This window comes from Homo sapiens, chromosome 3 (genome assembly GCF_000001405.40).
Source record: "Homo sapiens chromosome 3, GRCh38.p14 Primary Assembly".
Taxonomy (NCBI): Eukaryota; Metazoa; Chordata; class Mammalia; order Primates; family Hominidae; genus Homo; species Homo sapiens.
Genome location: NC_000003.12, coordinates 108,687,707 through 108,708,896, shown reverse-complemented (window position 1 = coordinate 108,708,896; position 21,190 = coordinate 108,687,707). Strand labels below are relative to the sequence as shown.

The following is a 21,190-nucleotide window of genomic DNA, read 5'->3' as shown; positions in this document are numbered from 1 at the left end:
TGACCTCAAGTGATCCACCTGCCTCTGCCTCCCAAAGCGCTGGGATTACAGGCATGAGCCACTGTGCCGGGCCCCTTTGATTGATTTTAAAATGCTAACTCAGCTTTCTATTTCTGGGGTAAACCTGATTTGATCATGATGCATTATCCTTTTTATATGCTGTTACACTCAATTTGTTAAAATGTTGTTATGGTCTTTTCAACAAATGGTACTTGGAGAACTGGACGTCACTTGAAAAATAGGATTCTAGACACATACCTTATGCCCTTCATAAAAATTAACCCAAAGGCTGGGTGCAGTAGCACACGTCTGTAATCCTAGCAGTTTGGGAGGCCGAGGCAGGTGGATCACCTGAGGTCAGGAGTTTGAGACCAGCCTGGCCAACATGGTGAAACCCCATTTCTACTAAAAATACAAAAATTAGCTGAGTGTAGTGGCTGGCACCTGTTATCCTAGCTGCTCAGGAGGCTGAGGCAGGAGAATAGCTTGAACCTAGCAGGCGGAGGTTGCAGTGAGCTAAGATCATGCCATTGCACTCCAGACTGGGCAACAATAGCGAGACTCTATCCAAAAAAAAAAAAAATTAACCCAAAATACATCATAGATCTAAATGTAAAATGCAGAAGTATAAAACTCCTAGGAGATAACATAGGAGAAAATCTGGATGACCTTGGGTGTGGTGATGACTTTTTAGATATGTCACCAAAGGCATGTTCCATGAAAGAAATAATTGATAAGCTGGACTTTATTGAAATTAAAAACCTCTGCTCTGTGAAAGTCACTGTCAAGGGAATGAGAAAACAAGGTCATGGACTGGGAAAAAATATTTGCAAACAACTGATCTGATAAAGGACTGTTATCAGAAATATATAAAGAACCCTTAAAAGTCAACAATAAAAACCCCAATTTGAAAACAGACAAAAGACCTGAACAGACACCTCATCAAAAAAGATATACAGGACCTCAGGCTGCAATGAACTACAAGCTCCATTCACTCAAGCAGGGAGTTTAACAGGCCCTGTCTAGGCTTCCTCTTCCCACACAGCACAGCTTGGAAATTATGCAGAAAGATGGGGAAATTAGAGAGTTTACCCTATTTGTTTCTCATCTGTCAGGGATCATTGTCCTACATTGCTTACAGTTCAATATTCTAGAGATATCCCACTGTTTAATATATTTTTGTCTATTTGTTTGTTTTGTTTTATTGGGCAGGAGGGCAAATTCAGTCCTGTTACTCTATCTTGCCTGGAAGCAAAATTTCACTCTAGCTAGCTATTGAGAAAGTTTTCTCTTTTTTACTAATGAGACTAGTTATCCTATATAAATTTCTTCTCTATACTCTTATTTCCTCATTAAAAAATCTTAGCTGTGTAAATACTGGGTACAAAAATGTAAACCTCTTTAAGCCTAGAGATAGCCTCATAGTGAGGTCAGTATACCCAATCCTAGCTCTGGCTAGTCCTATCTTTTGTCATCTTCTTGACTGGCCCGTTTTGTCACACACTGAAAAAGCTCTGAGAATTAGCCTATCACAATTATTGCATGTTATACTCAGTAGACAGTGCTTTATATGTGAATGGTACACTGGTCACAGGTGATTATCCACTCTTCATTCATGAACCCAATGACTGAATTTATCTCTTTGGGTGTGAGTAGACAACTGATGGAGAAGATGATGGAAACAGTGGCTCAATTAGAATACACTTAGAAGAAGGAAACATATCCTAAGAATTGGAGCATCAGGATTAAATAACTTCAAAATTTCAAAATAATATAGGCTCTACAAATCTTAATGGAAGAGGCTATTTGACTGGTGAATAAGAGCGAACCACTTCGATTTGGTTATCAATGAGAACAAGTAGAAGGCAGATGAGGCAGTGTCACATCTTATGAGTTTATTGACCAACTAGAGAAGCAGGATGGTTAAAAGACTTGAAATCATGTCACATGGGGATAAGTGGTATGTGAAATATCTCACGATAATTATGAATTCATCTATTTCTCCTTTAAATTATGTAACTTTTAATGATTACTTTGTTATTACACGTTCCCAAATTGAAGATAGGTCTATCTCCTGTGTAGCTATCTCAAGCTTATTTAGACTAGTGTTTACCTGTAACTTTTTCCATACTTTTAATTTCAACATTTCCATGTTTTTATATTAAAGATCTCTCTTCACAATAAAAATTGTTTTTGCTTGTTTGTTTTTATTTTTATAATCTGAGCTGACAATTCTTATCTTTCAATTGGAAATTTTAGGCCACTGTTATTTAATTTAACTACTAATATGTAGTCATGTGCCACATAATGATGTTTCAGTCAACGATGGACTGCATATACAACAGTATATGCATAAGATTGTAATATCGTATTTTTACTGTACCTTTTCTATGTTTACAAGTGTTTTAATAGACAAATACTTATCATCGTGTTATAATTGCCTTTAGTATTCAGCACAATAACACGCCATACAAGTTTGTAGCTTAGGAGCAATAAGCTACACTATATAGCTTAGGTATGTAGTAGGCTATACCATCTAAGTTTGTATAAGTAGACTCTATAACATTTACACAATAAAATCGCCTAATCACACATTTCTCAGAATATGTTTCTCCATCATTTAGTGACACATGAGTGTATTTGCATTTAAATCTACTATATTACTATGTATATTATATTTGTCTTTTGTGTTGTTCTTTTTTTGTTGTTCTTTCTCGACTTCTTCTGGTGTAATTATTTTATTATTATATTTTTCTTTCTATTAACCTGATAGTAATATAGTCTCTTTTTATAATTTTTATAATTTTAGGCAGTTACCCTGAAGATAACATGCATACTGACTTATTTGGTCTATATTTAGTACTTTTACCATGTCCTGAGTAATGTTAAGAATCTAGAACATTTAAAATCATTTATGACCCCTATTTTTTTATTGTATTCACAGATTTTAATTAATGTTTATTTTAAACCTTGTAAGGTATTTTTGCTGTTGCTTTAAGCATTCTATGTTAATGTAGGTTCAATTCTTTGTTTTCCCCTTCAGGTGCTCTTCATTCCTTCCTACATTCATATGGTTCCATTTGAGCACATTTTTTTTCCTACCTGAATAGTTCCCTAGGTGTATTTTTAATGTGGTTCTGTGGGCAATAAATTTAGTTTATATGTTTGTCTAAGAGGCATTGATCCATCCTCATTTCTGAGGGATATATTTACTGGAAATAGAATTCTAAATTGGCAGTTATTATCTTTCAGCATTTAAAGACACCATTGCACTATCTTTTTTCTTGTGGAAAATTAGCTGTCAATTTAATTGTTGTTCCTTTAGAATCTGAAATACTTCAAGAGGTCTTATTTTTCCAGAGGTTTATCTATGATGTTGCTGAGTATGGTGGTGTAGACAGTGGCTTCTTCCTCAAATGCTACTTGTCATTTGAATCGTTTATCCAGTCTATGACTTGATTGTTTTTGGTCAGTTGGGAAAAGTCGTAGTTAATATATCTTCAAATGAGATTACTGACCCATTCTCTTGCCTTTATGTCTGTGGATCCAGTTACATTTAGGTTAACATTTTCACTGTTACTCATTTTTTGCATTTTTTTTTTGGTTCTCTAAGCTTTAGCCTGGATATTTTCTACTGCCATATCTTCCCATTCACTAATCATCTCTTCTACTGTGTCTAAACCCACCTCTTAAACATTATACTTTTTAGTTTTTGATTTAAATTTCATTATTTTTAAAAACTTCAATCTTTTCATCTGTCTTCTTAAATATATTAGTCATAGTTATTTTAGAGGTTTTTTTCTCATAACTTCAATGTTTGGAATATCTCTGGGTCTTATTATCTGTTGTTTCTCTTAGTTTTCTGTCATTTAGTTCTTTTTCTTAACACACTTAGTAATTTTTTGTTGTTGAATGCCAGTCATCACCTAGTAAAAAATTGAGGAAATTCTGGATTATGACTATCTTCCTCTAAAGATATTTATTCCTCTTTAGCAAGCAGGTAGAACATGAGCAAATCACCTTGATCTAATCAAGCCTGGCCTTTCTCTGGTTTGTCCATACCCATGAAACTTTCAGGGTCTCAATGGAATGTCTGGCATTTATGAACCTGAGCTCCAATTTTCTCTCCAGGGTGACAATGAAGCCTAAATCTCAGCTTTGACTTTTCACCTCTTAGCAACTGTTTTCTGGCTGCTTGGCTGGCATAGGTACAGCTTAGGAATTGGCAAATGCTTCAAGGGGGAAATGCATGAAGAGTGTCACTCTCACTTCTCTATGGTTCTTTTGTCTCTGGAACATTAGCACCTTAGGTTCTGAATATCTTATTCACCATGAACTCCATTTTTTTCCTCCCTAATCCAGTTCTTCCTCAAGTAATATGTAGTTGCTTTCTTTTCAGCATCTGTGCCCTGAGCCTTGAATATGAAAATGCATTGAGGAGAAAAAGCAACCTACAGTATAGACTGTTTTTTTTTGTTTTGTTTTGTTTCTTGTTTTTTGTTTTTTGTTTTTTGTTTTTTTTTTTTTGAGATGGAGTCTCACTCTGTCACCCAGGCTGGAGTGCAGTGGTGTGATCTTGGCTCACTGCAAGCTCCATCTCCAGTCTCAGGTAGTTCTTTATTGCAATGAGAGAATGGACTAATACACCTGAAAAGCCTTCCCAAGAAGGATGGGCACAACACGCCCAAACTACAAATACTGCAATAAATACCTAACTCTTCAATGCCCAAAGAGTAGACAATGATGAAAATCCACAAGCATCAAGACTATCCAGGAAAACATGACCTCACACAAAAAAACAAAAAACAAAACAACAACAAAAAACTAAGGCACCAGGGACCAATCCTGGAGAAACAGAGATATGTGACCTTTCAGACAGAGAATTCAAAATAGCTGTTTTGAGGAAACTCAATGAAATTCAAGATGACACAGAGAATATTTCAGAATTCTACTCAATAAATTTAACAAAGATTGAAATAATTAAAAAGAATCAAGCAGAAATTCAGTTTAAAAATGCAACTGACATACTGAAGAATGACTGAAGAATGCATCAGAGTCTCTTTTTTTTTTTTTTGAGACGGAGTCTCGCTCTGTTGCCCAGGCCGGACTGTGGACTGCAGTGGCACAATCTCGGCTCACTGCAAGCTCCGCTTCCCGGGTTCACGCGAGTAGTGATCATGCAAAAGAAAGAATTGATGAGCTTAAAGACAGGCCATTTGAAAATACAGTCAGAGGAGACAAAAGAAAACAATGAAGCATGCCTGCAAGATAGCCTCAAAAAAGCAAATCTAGGAGTTATTGGCCTTAAAGAGGAGGCAGAGACAGAGATAGATGTAGAAAGTTTGTTCAAAGGGATAATATTAGAGAATGTCCCAAACCTAGAGAATGATATCAATATTAAAGTACAAGAAGGTTATAGAACACCAAGCATATTTAACTCAAAAAGGTTACCTTAAGTCATTTAATAAACTCCCAAAAGTTAAGGATAAAGAAAGGATCCTAAGGCAGCAAGAGAAAAGAAATAAGTAACATACAATCAAACTACAATATATCTGGCAGCAGACTTTTCAGTGCAAACATTACAGGCCAGGAAAGAGGGACATGACATATCTAAAGTGCTGAAGGAAAAAGACTTTTACCCTAGAATAGTATACCCAGTAAAAATATCTCTCAAGCATGAAGAAGCAATAAGTACTTTCCCAGAGAAACAAAAGCTGAGACCTGTCCTATAAGAAATGCTAAACACCAGACCTGTCCTACAAGAAATGCAAATCAGAGTTCTTCAATCTGAAAGAAACAGGCATTAATGACCAATAAGAAATCATCCGAAGGTACAAAACTCACTGATAATAGTAAGCACACAGAAAAACACAGAATATTATAACACTGTAATTGTGGTATGTAAACTACTCAAGTAAAAAGACTAAATGATGAACCAATAAAAAATAATAACTACAACAACTTTTCAAGACATAGTCAATACAATAAGATATAAAGAGAAATAATAAAAAAGTAAAACATAGGGGGACAAAGTGTAGAGTTTTTGTTAGTTTTCTCTTGGTTGTTTGTCTGTTTATGCAATCAGTGTTAAGTTGTCATCAGTTTAAAATAATGGGTTATAAGATATTCTTTTCAAGCCTCATGGCAACCTCAAATCTAAAAACATGATGAATACACAAAAAAATAAAAAGCAAGAAACATATCACCGGAGAAAATCACCTTCACTAAAAGGAAATATAGGAAGGAAAAAAGGAAAAGAAAAGAAAACCATGAAACAATCAGAAAACAACAAAATGGCAGGAGTAAGTCCCTATCAATAATAACATTGAATGTAAGTGGACTAAACTCTCCAATCAAAAGACATAGAGTGGCTCAATGGATTTGAAAAAAAAAAAAAAAAGACCCAATGATCTGTTGGTTACAAGCAACATGCTTCACCTATGAAGATATACACAGACTGAAAATATTGGGATGGAAAAAGATATCCCATGCCAATGGGAATTTTTAAAAAAAGAGCAGGAGTAGCTATACTTATATCAGGTAGCAGATTTTAAGGCAAAAACTGTAAGAAAGGACAAAGAAGGTCATTATGTAATAATAAAGGGGTCAGTTCAGCAAGAGGACATAACAATTGTAAATATATATGCACCCAATACTGGAGCACCCAGATATATAAAGCTAATATTATAAGAGCTAAAGAGAGAGATAGACTTCAATACAATAATAGCTTGAAACTTCAACACTCCTTTCAACATTGGACAGGTCTTCCAGACAGAAAATCAACAAAGAAACATTGGACTTAATCTGGACTATGGAACAAATGGACCTAATAGATATTTACAGAACACTTCATCTAAAGGCTGCAGAGTACACATTCTTCTCCTCAGCACATGAATAATTCTCAAGGATAGACCATATGTTAGGTTACAAAGCAAGTCTTAAAACATTTAAAAAATTAAAATAATATCAAATAATATCTGACCACAATGAAATAAAATAGAAATAAGTAACAAGAGAAAATTTAGAAACTATACAAACACATGAAAATTAAACAATATGCTCCTGACTGATGAGTGGGTCAATTAAAAAATTTAGAAGGAAATTAAAATGTTTCTTGAAACAAATGAAAATGGAAACACAACATACCAAAACCTATGAGATACAGCAAAATCAGTACTAAGTGGGAAATTTATACCTGTAAATGCCTACCTCAAAAAAGAAAAGAAAAAAAAAAACTTCAAGTAAATAATCTAATGCTGCATCTTAAAGAACTAGAAAAGCAAGAGCAAACCAAACCCAAAATTAGTAGTAAAAAATAAGAAAGATCAGAGCAGAAATAAATGAAATTGAAGAAGTTAATACAAATGATCAAAGGGAAAAGTCGGTTCTTTGAAAAGATAAACAAAACTGACAAACCTTTAGCCAGACTAAAGAAAATGAGAGAGAAGACCCAAATAAATAAAATCGAAGATGAAAAAAGAGACATTACAACTGATACTACAGAAATTCAAAGGATTATTAGTGGCTACGATGAGCAATTATATGCCAACACATTAGAAAATCTAGAGGAAATGGATAAATTCCTAGACACATATAACCTCCCAAGATTAAACAATGAAGAAATCCAAAACGTGAACACACTAAGTAACAGATCAAAGCTGTAATAAAAAGCTCCCAATAAAGAAAAGCCCAGGACTTGATGGCTTCATTGCTGAATTCTACCAAACATTTAAAAAACTAACACCAACCCTACTCAAACTATTTCAAAAAATAGAGGACGAGGGAATACTTCCATATTCATTCAACAAGGCCAGTATTACCCTGATACCAAAACCAGAGAAAGACATATCAATAAAAGGAAGAAGAAAACTACAGCCAATATCCCTGATGAATACTTATGCAAAAATCCTCAACATAATACTAGCAAACCGAATGCAACAATACATTAAAAGGATCATTCATCATGATCAAGTGAGATTTATCCCAGGGATGCAAGCATGGCTCAACATACACAAATCAATCAATGATAACGCATCATATCAACAGAATGAAGGTCAAAAGCCATGATCATTTCAATTAATGTTGAAAAAATATTCGATGAAATTCAACATCATTTCATGATTTAAAAAAAAACCTTTAAGAACCTGGGTATAGAATAAACATATTAATATCTTGACATAATAAAAGCCATATATGACAAACCCACAGTTAGTCTTATACTGAATGGAGAAAAACTGAAAGCCTTTCCTCTAAGATCTGGAACAAGACAAGGATGCCCACTTTCATCACTGTTATTCAACATAGTACTGGAAGTCCTACCTAGAGCAATCAGACAACAGAAAGAACTAAAGGGCAAATTGGAAAGGAAGAAGTCAAATCATCCTTGTTTGCAAATGATATAATCTTATATTTGGAAAAACCTAAAAATACTACCAAGAAACTATTAGACCTGATAAACAAATTTGTAAGGTTGCAGGACACAAAATCAACATGCAAAAGTCAGTGAGTAGCATTTCTATTTGCCAATAGTAAACAACGTGGAAAAGAAATCAAGAAAGTAATCCCATTTACAACTGCCACAAATCGAATTAAATACCTAGAAATTAAGCAAAGTGAAAGATCTCTACAATGACAACTATAAAACACCAGTAAAGGAAATTGAAGAGGACACCAAAAAATGGAAAGATATTCCATGTTCATGGATTGGAAGAATCAATTGTTAAAATGTCCACACTACCCAAAACAATCTACAGATTCAATGCAACCCCTATCGAAATACCAATGACATTTTCAGAGAAATAAGAAAAAACAATCCTAGGATTTATGTGAAACCATAAAAGACCCAGAATAGTCACACCTATCTTCAAAAAAATGTACAAAACTGGCTGGGCGTGGTGGCTCACGCCTGTAATCCCAGCACTTTGGGAGGCCGAGGTGGGCAGATCATGAGGTCAGGACATCGACACCATCCTGGCTAACACGGTGAAACTCCGTCTCTACTAAAAATACAAAAAATTGGCGGGCGCCTGTAGTCCCACCTACTAGAGAGGCTGAGGCAGGAGAATGGCGTGAGCCTGGGAGGCAGAGCTTGCAGTGAGTTGAGATTGTGCCACTGCACTCCAGCCTGGGCGACAGAGCGAGACTCCGTCTCAAAAAAAAAAAAAAAAAAAAGTACAAAACTGAAGGAATCACAGTATGCGACGTCTAATTGTACTACAGAGCTATAGTAATGAAAACAACATAATACTGGCATAAAAAACAGACACATAAACCGATGGAACAGAATACAGAACCCCGAAACAAATCCATATACCTACAGTGACCTCATTTTCGATGAAGGCTCCAAGAATATACACTGGGAAAAGAACAGTCTTTTCAATAAATGGTGCTGGGAAAACTGGATATCCATATGCAGAAGAATGAAAATAGACCATTATCTCTCACCATATATAAAAATCAAATCAAAATGGATTAAATAGTTAAATCTAAGACCTCAAACTATGAAACTACTACCAAAAAAAAAAAAAAAAAAAAAATTGGGGAAACGCTCCAGGACACTGGTGTGGGCAAAGATTTCTTAAGGAATACTCCACAGCACAGGCAGCCAAAGCAAAAATGGACAAATAGGATCACATCAAGTTAAAAAGCTTCTGCACAACAATAGACACAATCAACAAAGTGAAGAGGCAACCCATAGGATGGGAGAAAATATTTGCAAACTACCTATTTGACAAGAGATTAATAATCAGAATATATAAGGAGGTCAACAACTCTACAAGAACAAATCTAATAATCCAATTTAAAAATGGGCAAAACATCTGAATAGATATTTCTCAAAAGAAGATGTACAAATGGCAAACAGATAATCAGAAAATATGTAAATCAAAACTACAATGAGATGCTATCTCACCACAGTTAAAATGGCTTTTCTCCAAAAGACAGGCAATAATAAATGCTGGAGAGGATGTGGAGAAAAGGGAACCCTCATATACTGTTGGTGGCAATTTAAATTAGTACAACCACTTGGAAAGCAGTTTGCAGGTTCCTCAAAAAATTAAACATTGAGCTACCATATGATACAGCAATCTCACTGCTGAGTATATACCACAAAAAAAGAAATCAGTATATTAAAGAGATATCTGCATTTCCATATTTGTTGCAGCACTGTTCACAAAAGCCAAGATTTGAAAGCAACCTAAGTGTTCATCGACAGATGAATGCAGAAAGAAAATGTGGCATATACACAATGGAGTACTGTTCAACTACAAAAAAGAATGAGATCCTGTCATTTGCAACAACATGGGTGGAACTGGAGGTCATTATGTTAAGTGAAATAAGCCAGGCATAGAAAAACAAACATTGCATGATCTCACTTATTTGTGGGGGCTAAAAATTAAAACAATTGAATTCATAGAGATAGAGAATAGCAGGATGGTTACCAGAGGCTGGGAAGGGTAATGTGGTATCTGGTGGGGGAAAAAGTGGGGATGGTTAATAGGTACAAAAAATAGAGAGAATGAATAAGACCTAGTATTTGATAACAAAACAGGGCAACTATAGTCAATAACTACATTTTAATATAACTAAAAGAGTATATTTGGATTGTTTGTAACAGAAAGGATAGATGCTTGAGAGGATGGATAACCCATTTACCATGATGAAATTATTATGCATTGCATGCTTAAACAAAGGACTATGTTTAGTATCTCATGTACCCCATAAATATATGCACCTATTATGTATGCAAAAATTAACAATTAAAAGTTTCTGGCTTTTAAAAAACATATCCAATAAATAAATATTGGTTTGAATGTCTGTTTAGGTTTATTTTGTAATGATCTGATAATGTTGTGAATATGTTCATAATTTATTAAAACAATCTACTTTTCTTACTTGAAATATTTCACCTTTAGTTGCTGAGGAATGGCTCTTGTCATAGGCCTTCAGACTTAGTTTTCCTTAGATTAGAATAATGCAAAACTTTACAACTATTTCTTGTAATTAGCCCTTCCTTTTGGCACATAGTATTTTCAAGGGAGATGTCAAAGGTCCATGGTGACAGTTTCCTATACCATTGCTATTTTCTCTGAGTCGAGTTAGTGCACTGACAGAGATTATTCATACTGCGGAGGTGTGTTCTTGTGATGTTAGAATCCTTATTGTGGTTGTTACATTTCACGGTTAAAAAAAAAAAGATACAATCCTGGAGATATGCTCTAAACACCAACATAATGTTTGAAATTGAAAAGATGAAGAATCTGGTCTTTGCTCTTTTGAAGTATTAATCAAATACTATCAACCTTGATGTAACAATACTGTAAATTCAGCTTTATTCTGAGCTAGAACAATGTCTCCTTGTGATGACTATTTTAATCTTATTTTGCTTCCATATTTACCCAGAGAAATAATTTAGTGGTTTTCAAATAGTTTCATTTGTTTTTTTTTTTTTTTTTTTTTAAGGCAAAATGGTGTTGTGGGGAGTACACTGATTATTTTATTTTACTTTAAGTTCTGGGATGCGTGTGCAGAACGTGTAGGTTTGTTTCATAGGTATTCATGTGCCATGGTGGTTTGCTACACCTATCAACCCGTCATCTAAGTTTTTAAGCCCCACATGCATTAGGGATTTGTCCTAATGCTCTCCGTTCCCTTGCCCTCCACCCTCCAACAGGCCACAGTGTGTGATGTTCCCCTCCCTGTGTCCTTGTGTTCTCACTGTTCAACTCCCATTTATGAGTGAGAAAAGGCGGTGTTTGGTTTTCTGTTCCTATGTTAGTTTGCTGAGAATGATGGTTTCCAGCTTCATCCATGTCCCTGCAAAGGACATGAACTCATTTTTTTATGGCTGCATGGTATTCCATGATGTATATGTGCCACATTTTCTTTATGCAGTCTGCCATTGATGGGCATTTGGGTTTGCCAAGTCTTTGCTATTGTAAATAGTGCTGCAATAAACACATGGAGAGTACACTGATTTTGATGTGAGGAGTCTAGAATCACCTTACTACTCAAACATTGCATGACCTTGAGCAAATCACTTCTTTAATGTCCTTGCCTCTCAAATGGAGATATCTTTCCTACATAACTTCAAAACTTTCAGTCTCCTAGATCATTATCAGTTTGTTCAACCTTGCTAGGCAGTATTAGGAATTATTAAAGTTCATGTAGTTTAAATGGATCAAGCAAATGTTATGAGATTGTGATATTTTTTATGCAATAAACTTAACACTCAAACATTTTTGGGGCCATGTGAAAATAGAAGTTGGACTACTGGTTATATTTTCCTCTCTTTGCTTTAGTAAGGATAGTTGAAGATAAAAAACCTTTAATAACTTTATGATCAAGGAGTAAGTGTAAACAGATTGAATGACTAACGGAAATTTCATTTGCTACTTTGGGAAAGAAAACTAATAAATGTTCATTTAAAATGAAACAGTCAGGCAAGTAGCATTTTATCCATTTTCCAGAAAAGAAACTGGTTGAGAAAAGTAATGTCTTCATGATCATACAATATGCTAGATATGGAATTCAAAAATCTAAACCTAGATCTGAGTGAGAAATCTGCTTTCTACTATAGCAGTTGTTTTCAAAATATAATGTGCATCAGAACACCTGTGGTACTTACTCCAAATGGAGATTCCCAGACAGCTTATTGGAATATGCATTGTTATAAATACATCATGTAATGTGATGGTGGTCCAGGATAATTAAGAACAAGAGCTCATTAGTTCTGTTAAGTAGCATGTTCAAATCTGCACTAGTTACTGAAAACTGCCAACTCAAGAAAATCAAACTATGTATCTTTATAATAAATTAGTATTCATTTGTTGTTTTTATCTGGGTATAAACCAGAATAGTACATTACTGTGATCCTAGAATTCTTATCTACGAGGCTCACAGATAAGGTATTCCAGGAGTATTTGATAAATGCAGGTGGTTCTTGCTAACTTTGAATCTGGTAAAATATAAGCCTACCTTCCCTGAATTAATCATAAAATAAAATTTATCATAAAATTTTTTTAAAAGGAAGAAAATACTGTATTTCTTGTGTGCACGAAGTCAACCCAAAGTGAGGCTGCAACTATGAAGAGAATACCAGCTAAGGGACTCCAATCAAATCTCAGAATGCCACTTTGTACCTATGACTTTGGACAAATTATTTCCCTCTTACTTGAGTCTCAGGTTCATCATTTGTAAAATAAGCATAACAACATTCACCTCAGAGTTATTCATGGATCAAATGAGGTACTAAACACATTTGAAGGTGTCCCATAGAAGCTATAAAATGTTACACACATGGACAATAAATATGAAGGAAAATCTAAGACATATCATCTAACAGCAGCTGCAGTGATATTACCGGATACTTTCAGGTTGTTTTTGATGGAAATATTTCCACTTTAAGAGCTTTCTGGTCCTCACTGGATTTCTCAGCAGGGTGGAGTGTTCTGGATCATCCCTCAGTAGGCACAGGCATGACAGTGATCACTGTGTGTGGTAGAATGACCCCTGCAATTGTCTTTACTGTTAAAGTATACATCAAAAACTATAATCCCATTACCTTCAGCACCTAAAGAATTAAATATAACTTCCTGGAGCACTGTCCTATTACATTCTCCCTATATACCAACTATTGTATTAAGTTCTCTGGCCCCATCCTTGGAGCTAAGCATGGCAAGTCAACACCAATACCCTATTACAACATGAGTTTGTGGAGAAAGCATGTGATGAGGCATCAGAGACCCTCAAGTACTGAGACTGGCCTAGCCACTATCTGGCCATGTGACATTGGGTACAACATACCTGTAAAATAAGAAAATGTATTATATGTCACTAAGGACCCAATGAACTTTGGCATTCTGTTATTTTAAAACAATCGTGGCATTTTATAAGTCTATATAACTGTCTTCTTGGATATTTTCCTTCCCATTTTCCTAACGTTTCTCAAAACAGTAGAAAAAGTTTAAGCCCAATTAAACAGAAAGATACATTTGAAGTAAAGATTTCAAGTAGTTTCAGAATATGCTTATAATGAAATACACAGATAAAATAGTTGTTCAATTAAGAAACATTTATTCTTTTCTAAATGAAAGTGAAATTGCAGTTGTAAGTATGAACTAAGAAACATTGGTTTTACAAGATAACTAGCTATATGACCATGACCTTAAGGTGTGATATGGTTTGGCTCTGTGTCTCCACCCAAATATCTTGTATCTCCCATTATTCCATGTTGTGGGAGGGGCCTGGTGGGAAATAATTTAATCACGGGGGCAGGTCTTTCCCATGCTGTTCTCGTGATAGTAAGCCTCATGAGATCTGATGGTTTTAAAAATGGGAGTTTCCCTGCACAAGCTCTCTCTCCTTGTCTGCTGCCATCCATGTAAGATGTGACTTGCTCCTCTTTGCCTTCCACCATGATTGTGAGGCCTCCTTAGTCATGTGGAACTGTAAGTCCGTTAAACCTCTTTCTTTTGTAAATTGCCCAATCTCAGGTATGTCTTTATCAGCAGCATGAAAATGGACTAATACAAGGTGCTAGACAAGGTGATTAAAGGCTCTATAAATTCTAAATTGTGCAATTCTAAGACATTCTTGGCATTTTACATGTCTAGATGACTGCCATCTTTTTTTAAATATTTTTCCCTCACATGTTCCAGTCTATTCTCATTACAGAAGAATACGTTTAACATACAGTTACAGAAACAGAGGTTTTAAATAAATATTTAAAAGTAACTTCAAAATATATTTGCACTGAAATATGGAGGCAAAATTGTTTCTGAGTCAGGAAACATTTATTCTTCCCCATAAATTTAAATGGAGGTGAAACTGTGAATATGAAGCAAAGAACATTTATCTCACAAGGTAACTCTGAATTCTTTTAATTCTGAAACCAGAGACATGTACAACACTTACAGCATTCACACAACACTATTTTCAAAATAGGTTTTTGACCCCTAAAAATGAAAATTCTTAGTGACAAGCTTTAGATATGAAACTTAGCCCAGTGGGTATTCACTTTGTCACAAAAAGCAACTACAGACAAATAGTTTTTCCCTCTCCCCGACACAAAAACTGAAATTACAGACTTTTAAAGCAGAAAAAATTTTCTCCAAAATGCAAATGATTAAGGTCCAAGGAACAAATGAACAGAAGATCTCAATTATTCAATTGAGCGAGTGATTTAGTTTGCATATTAACTCCTTTTCTTACTACTTCCTGATATCTGATTCTGGCAATATTTATCTTGTATCTACTGGGCAAGACACTGGGAACACAAAGAAATTTTAGACAAGGTCCAGTGGTATGCTGGTAAAGGTTTAACAACTAGCTCTTAAGGGAAAGGTAGGTCTTCACTTATAGCATTTCTATGGTGTAAATACTCCAATTGCCGCAGATTTCAAGCTAGCAACAATTTGACAACTGTCTCACAAAATTCCTCAAACTAACGATTGTCACTCATAAGACATTACAAGCCAGCTCCAACACACCACCGTACAGTCTCCACCTTCAAGTAGTTCATAATCTCTTCATGGGTACCTATTTAAGGGGATATAAAAGAATGGGGAATATTGAGATATAATTTAAATCAATTATATTTTTTAGGTAGTTTTAAAAGTTAGAAGGAACATAAATTTCCATGGGATTTTCCTACTTCTTTTTTTTTTTGTCATGGCAAATAACCTCATATTTTATTCAAAAACAATACCCCCTCCCCAGTCATGCATTTATAATTAAAATATCCTATTTTAATACATTCTCCTTATCTCTACCTTAGTGAATTAAAAAAAAATCTCTTGACATAACTGGGTAATTGTAACAATTCTCTTGTAATTGCTTTGACTGTGGAAAACAGGCATATCAGATTGCAGTCCCTCACATGACAGGCACACCAGCAAGATAACAAAAGACAGATTGACAAGAGAACAGCATAAAATTTCATTTAATATAAGTTTTATCATATTAAATAATATATTAGGTATTTATTAAAACTTTTTATATAATATATATTAAAACTTATTTTTATATAATAAAATTTATTACATACAAATAAAACTTATTATATAAAAATTTGTTTTAAATGATTGGACAAAAAGGTATGGTCTAATGGTAATAAACTGGGGGAACTTGGCAAACTTGTTAGTAAACTTGGAAAAGTAAACTATCTGGACCCATCGCAAACCTGTTGATTCAGAATCCCTGGGATGGGACCAAACAATCTAGCTTAAAAGTCCTCCAGGTGATTCTGATGTAAACCATTTGAGAAATACTGGCACATGGGAAACTTTTACTGTTTATCTAAAGGACAGGCAGACATGGAAATGCAGGGAATATGTCAAGTAAGAAAAATAAGCAGTGACGCATGTGCCCTGACTTTAAATGTATGTAGAACAACAACAGTTGTTCAACAGTCTCAAATTGAATGAGACTATTCAACTGGATCTATTCAGAAACATATGAACTGTCCCTTTCTGTTTCATTTCCGTGGGCTTATGTTAGTGTAGAAGCCTGAGTACATTTGCTGTGGGCAGACATGTAAATTCTTTAGCCCATGGGAAGCTGTAGAGAAGAAAGTAGGATTGAGTACTGCCTCCTGATCATCTCCCAGGACTGGATTACCAATAGCCAGTCTGTCTATGCCCATGTTCTGTCATGTGCCAAGCAGGGGCAGAAAAAAAATATATATATTTCTATCAATTCACATTATAATTATAATCAATTCACATTATAATATAAATATAAATATAAAGCCAAAATGTTCTTGGCCTTTGTAGGGGAGAAAAAACTTTTTCCTCTACCAACTTTTGTTATTTCAATAGGAGCCTGCAAATTAAACTGAAAAAAAGACATTAGTAAGAGAAAAGAGCTTATTTATGCGGACAATGTTCGCACATGTGGGAGTGTTCCGTGAAGAGTAACTGAAAAGTGTGGTTAGAATTTGGGGCTTATATACCTAACTTAGTAGGGGAAAGGAATGGGGGAGAAAGACATCTATGGGAAGGACAAATTGGTTCGTTTAGGAAAGACAAATGGGTTTTCAGGAGAACAAACAGAAGATAAGAAAGTTTGTGATAATACTTATGCAGGTATGAGTGGTCTTTCTGTCTTCTTCATGGCCATGAAACTGCACCTGAGACGGGTGATGAGATTTAAGACATGCTACTCCAAAATATGGCATCTTGATGTTTGAGAAAACAGCAGAAGCAGGGAAGTCTCACTCACTTTCCTCCTGCACTTCTTCCCAGAAACAAGTCATAAAACCTAGGAAGGATTCTCTGACCTTCCCTGGAAGCAGGTCATAAGACCCTCATTCTAGAGGTACCCACTGTATACCTGGAGGAAAAGGACATCCTTATCTCTGGAGACACAGGGACACAGAGAAGAATCTGAACAAATGACTTGCTATGTTTCTTCCAGTTTCTTACCATTAGATCATACCCTTTTATCCCCTCATAGCTCTCCGTGAATATCCACTTCTTTTTTTTTTTTTACTTTCTTTTTTTTTTCTTTTATTATTATTATACTTTAAGTTTTAGGGTACATGTGCACAATGTGCAGGTTAGTTACATGTGTATTCATGTGCCATGCTGGTGTGCTGCACCCATTCCTACTTCTTTACTATTTCCCTTTTCCTTAAATTTATTTCAGGAAATTAAAGTGTAGAATACTTGAGGGGAGAGTAAAGGATGAGTGAAATAAGAATTTAAAAAGACAAGAAAAAACATCCTAAGAAATATGCTAACAGTTATGTTTCCACTACAAGAAAAAAACCTACTAAGAGCATATATAGTGTAACTATTAAAATTCCATCTGCTTCAAGCTCTTTCAGTTCATTTCACAAGTCCTGAAGATTTGTCCTGACTTCTTTGGCTGCTGCTTTGATAAAATTAGCTGGCTTCTTTAGCACTATATTGAAGAGCACATAGTTTTACACCACTCAAACAAGCAGCTCATAATAAAAGAAAACTGAGCTTCCTTTGCATAGACACCCCGACCTTGTATCAGATCTTGGGCAACTGCCGGCTGGGGTGACCAGGGAATTCTTCTGGTAGCAAAACGTGGAGTCTGCACGTTGGACATGTCCCCTGTTGCATCAACCATGGTCTAATGCACTAAGGAGCAAAAAGATTTATGTCAGTCTCTCAGATGTAGCCTAGCAGAGGCAGTTGTCACTCTATGCATCAGGGTTACCAACCAACATGTCTTCTGGTGGATCTTTAAAGCCTTACGCTGTGGATCGTCAAACCAATTGCTGCAACCATGGCACCTTCCCTGTGGTTTGCTAAACAAAATAGGTGGTAACTGCACAATACCTTTTAGCCAGTTTATTCTACTAGAAATGCTTCCTTCAACCTCAATTTTCAAGATGACTAGCAATCCTTCCTGACAAGGAAATTGGAGAAACTTGCTATATTCTTTGGTTTACTATATACTGTTCTCATTTATAATCCAGAAAAAGTCATAACTAATGATACAAAAGTCACTAGTACCTGGTATGAAATGCTTATGGTGTTTGCAGTTAAAATCCCTAGATCATGAATACACTTCTCAGATTGTTTTCTTTGGCGATAATGACAGTAATTTTCGGCTATGAACTATCTGTTAAGTCACTTGCTTGAATGCTGACTCTCCAAAAACAAATCATTTTTACGTATATAAATAATGGAGGGCCAGGTCAGATGAGAGAGGATTAATAATAAGCACTATATATAATAGGCCCACTAACTATAGTCATAAAAAATGACCTGAATGAATTATATGCTTTCTACTTGTGGGCAATGGCAAAGAGTAGGATAAGTTTTGTTAAACATGTATTTCCTAAATTGTCAGAACCTTATAAACTTCAAAGGGGAAAGTCAATGGCTAAGGATCTTTCCTAGAAAACTTTTGGGATTAGGCATTTTGTGGATGTATCTTCATATTAGAGCAAATACAAAATATAATTCTGTACCAGGTACCACATATCATATCTTTGAAATGATGTCTTACAAACATGGCTTGACTGAACTGGCTATTATTTACTTCCCTGAAAAGCCTTTCTTTACTATGACTACCTTTTCCTGTGTCAAATTACATCTCTGCAACAGAGGACTTGGATCATTAATTATATACCAATAGCAACTGTGTGGCAGTAACACCAGAATTTAATCTATATAAATGCCAAGAATCAACAAAAGACATGCCAACCTCATATTTTTCTTTTTCTTTTTTTGAGATGGAGTCTCACTCTATCACCCAGGCTGGAGTGCAGGGGCCCGATCTCGGCTCACTGCAAGCACCACCTCCTGGGTTCACACCATTCTCCTGCCTCAGCCTCCTGAGTAGCTGGGACTACAGGCACCCGCCACCACGCCCGGCTAATTTTGTTTCTGTATTTTTAGTAGAGATGGGGTTTCACAGTGTTAGCCAGGATGGTCTCGATCTCCTGACCTCATGATCCACCCACCTCAGCCTCCTAAAGTGCTGGGATTACAGGTGTGAGCCACCATGCCTCACATTTTTCTAACATCAAAACTCAAGCCTGAGTATCTTTCAAAAGCAAATATAGAAGCCTGAAGAGACTGATAAATCTTATGCTTTATGAAAGGGGGCTGTCATTAATTATGGACAAAGGACACTATGTGGTATTTATAGCATGTCAATTTCAAGTGGTGCTGTTGCTAGTTCTGCCACTAAACTACCACGTCAATCGACATTTGTCCCAGTTCTATTCGAAGGAACTGCCTACTGTGTACCATCTGACTCTCAACATTGTCCCCTTCTTCTGTAGGGTGGATGGAGATCTGAGAGAGCACAATGCAATCCATGGCTATGTATGGGAAAAGCATAAATGTTTCTGTGTGGTACCCAAAAGCTCAGAGTTATATCCAGTGGAACTTGTGAGACAACAATGGATAATGATACATGTATATGATAATAAGTAAGGCAGTATGAATCTCATTTAGCTGATTAATGGGAAAATTTAAAGTGTTACCTGAGCATGGAATTTGTGAGCGCAAGGCAAAACTGAAAGATTTTCTGGAGACAGATTCTCATGACAGATCACACAAGGCTCTTCTTCTTCCTCTTCCTCATCCTAGGGAAAATACAGAAAATGTTAAATTTAGCTCATTGTTTTCTCCCAAATCTAAATGTGTTCAGAATCAAAAATTTCAGTCTCACTGGATTACTGGCTCCTTCCCATGTGGCAGGACCCTGTGAAGTGAGTGGCCTCCAGGCTGGTTTTGGGGGCTGGGCAGCATCAGGCTGTGATGGAGAATGACTAGGTGAAACACAATTAACATTTGACACTGATTTTCCTTGACTCTGAAAATAAGAACATAATGTTTATTTTTTCAGAATTATCCTAAAACAGTAAGAGCTGAAACATTAGTACAGAACGGGGTATAGTAAGAACTAGCAAAAGGGTAAATAATCAGATTTGTGAGAAATCTTGAACAAAATGGTGGCAATACTTATATACTCAGAGCTAGGTAAAAACAAAAATAACTCTATACATTCTTTTAATTAAAATAAATCTTTCAAGAAAATTAGAAAATCTCTCCCTCTTTAGACTCATTCAAAGAAACTAGAGCAAATTTCAAGGAGGTCAGTTTTATTCTAGAATGATTAGGTAACAGGTATTTCAAAAAGACTTCTGATATCATTTGTTAAGTTGAAGTTGTTATTTACTGTTAATAGATGATTTAATATGATTACAAGTTACTGATTTTCTGAACAGGTTATGGAGATATTTAAAACAGTTAACTACTAGAGTTAAGGGCAGAGAGATACAGGTTTTTTGGTTGTTTTTGCATTTTACCTGAGACTTTTTGGGGTCAATAAACTGGGAAATCTTGCAAACAATTTCATCAAATGTCAGTTCAGACAAGGATTTTCCATAAGCATCCTTCAATTTCCGTAAGAAATCTGTAAGTTCCTTTCTGCAAGAGATCAAGGAAAGGAAAGGGCAGTAATGATTTTCCTTAGTACCTTTGAGGATGTACCCACCAAAGGAGATATAAAATCCTATCGCATGATTGATATGTAGCATACAGACAGGACTCTTTAGGTCTTTGATCTAAAAAAGTGATCACAGGTCCATCTGCATTTATCTTAAACCAAAAGGAAAACTCCTAATTGTGTTCATTAATGATACTTAATGTTTTCATGAGTGATAAAGTTTAGTACTTATTTTCTTTCCAAAAAGAGA

At 35.4% G+C, this 21,190-nt stretch overlaps 1 protein-coding gene across 10 annotated transcripts in view; it reads right to left on the bottom strand.

Annotated features, from left to right (window-relative positions):
• Positions 1-14,056: 14,056 nt before the first annotated feature.
• The window catches only part of DZIP3 (DAZ interacting zinc finger protein 3), a 105,331-nt gene continuing 98,197 nt past the window's right edge, over positions 14,057-21,190 (bottom strand). For all 10 annotated transcript variants that reach the window (XM_005247917.4, XM_005247914.5, XM_047449256.1 and 7 more), the window contains 5 exons: positions 20,801-20,921; positions 20,161-20,304; positions 19,973-20,074; positions 17,994-18,110; positions 14,057-15,537 (listed from right to left, as the gene is read on the bottom strand). In XM_005247917.4, the coding sequence (XP_005247974.1) occupies positions 18,000-18,110; positions 19,973-20,074; positions 20,161-20,304; positions 20,801-20,921 (478 nt within the window). In that variant the 3' untranslated portion in view covers positions 14,057-15,537; positions 17,994-17,999. The remainder of the gene's footprint in view (positions 15,538-17,993; positions 18,111-19,972; positions 20,075-20,160; positions 20,305-20,800; positions 20,922-21,190) is intronic.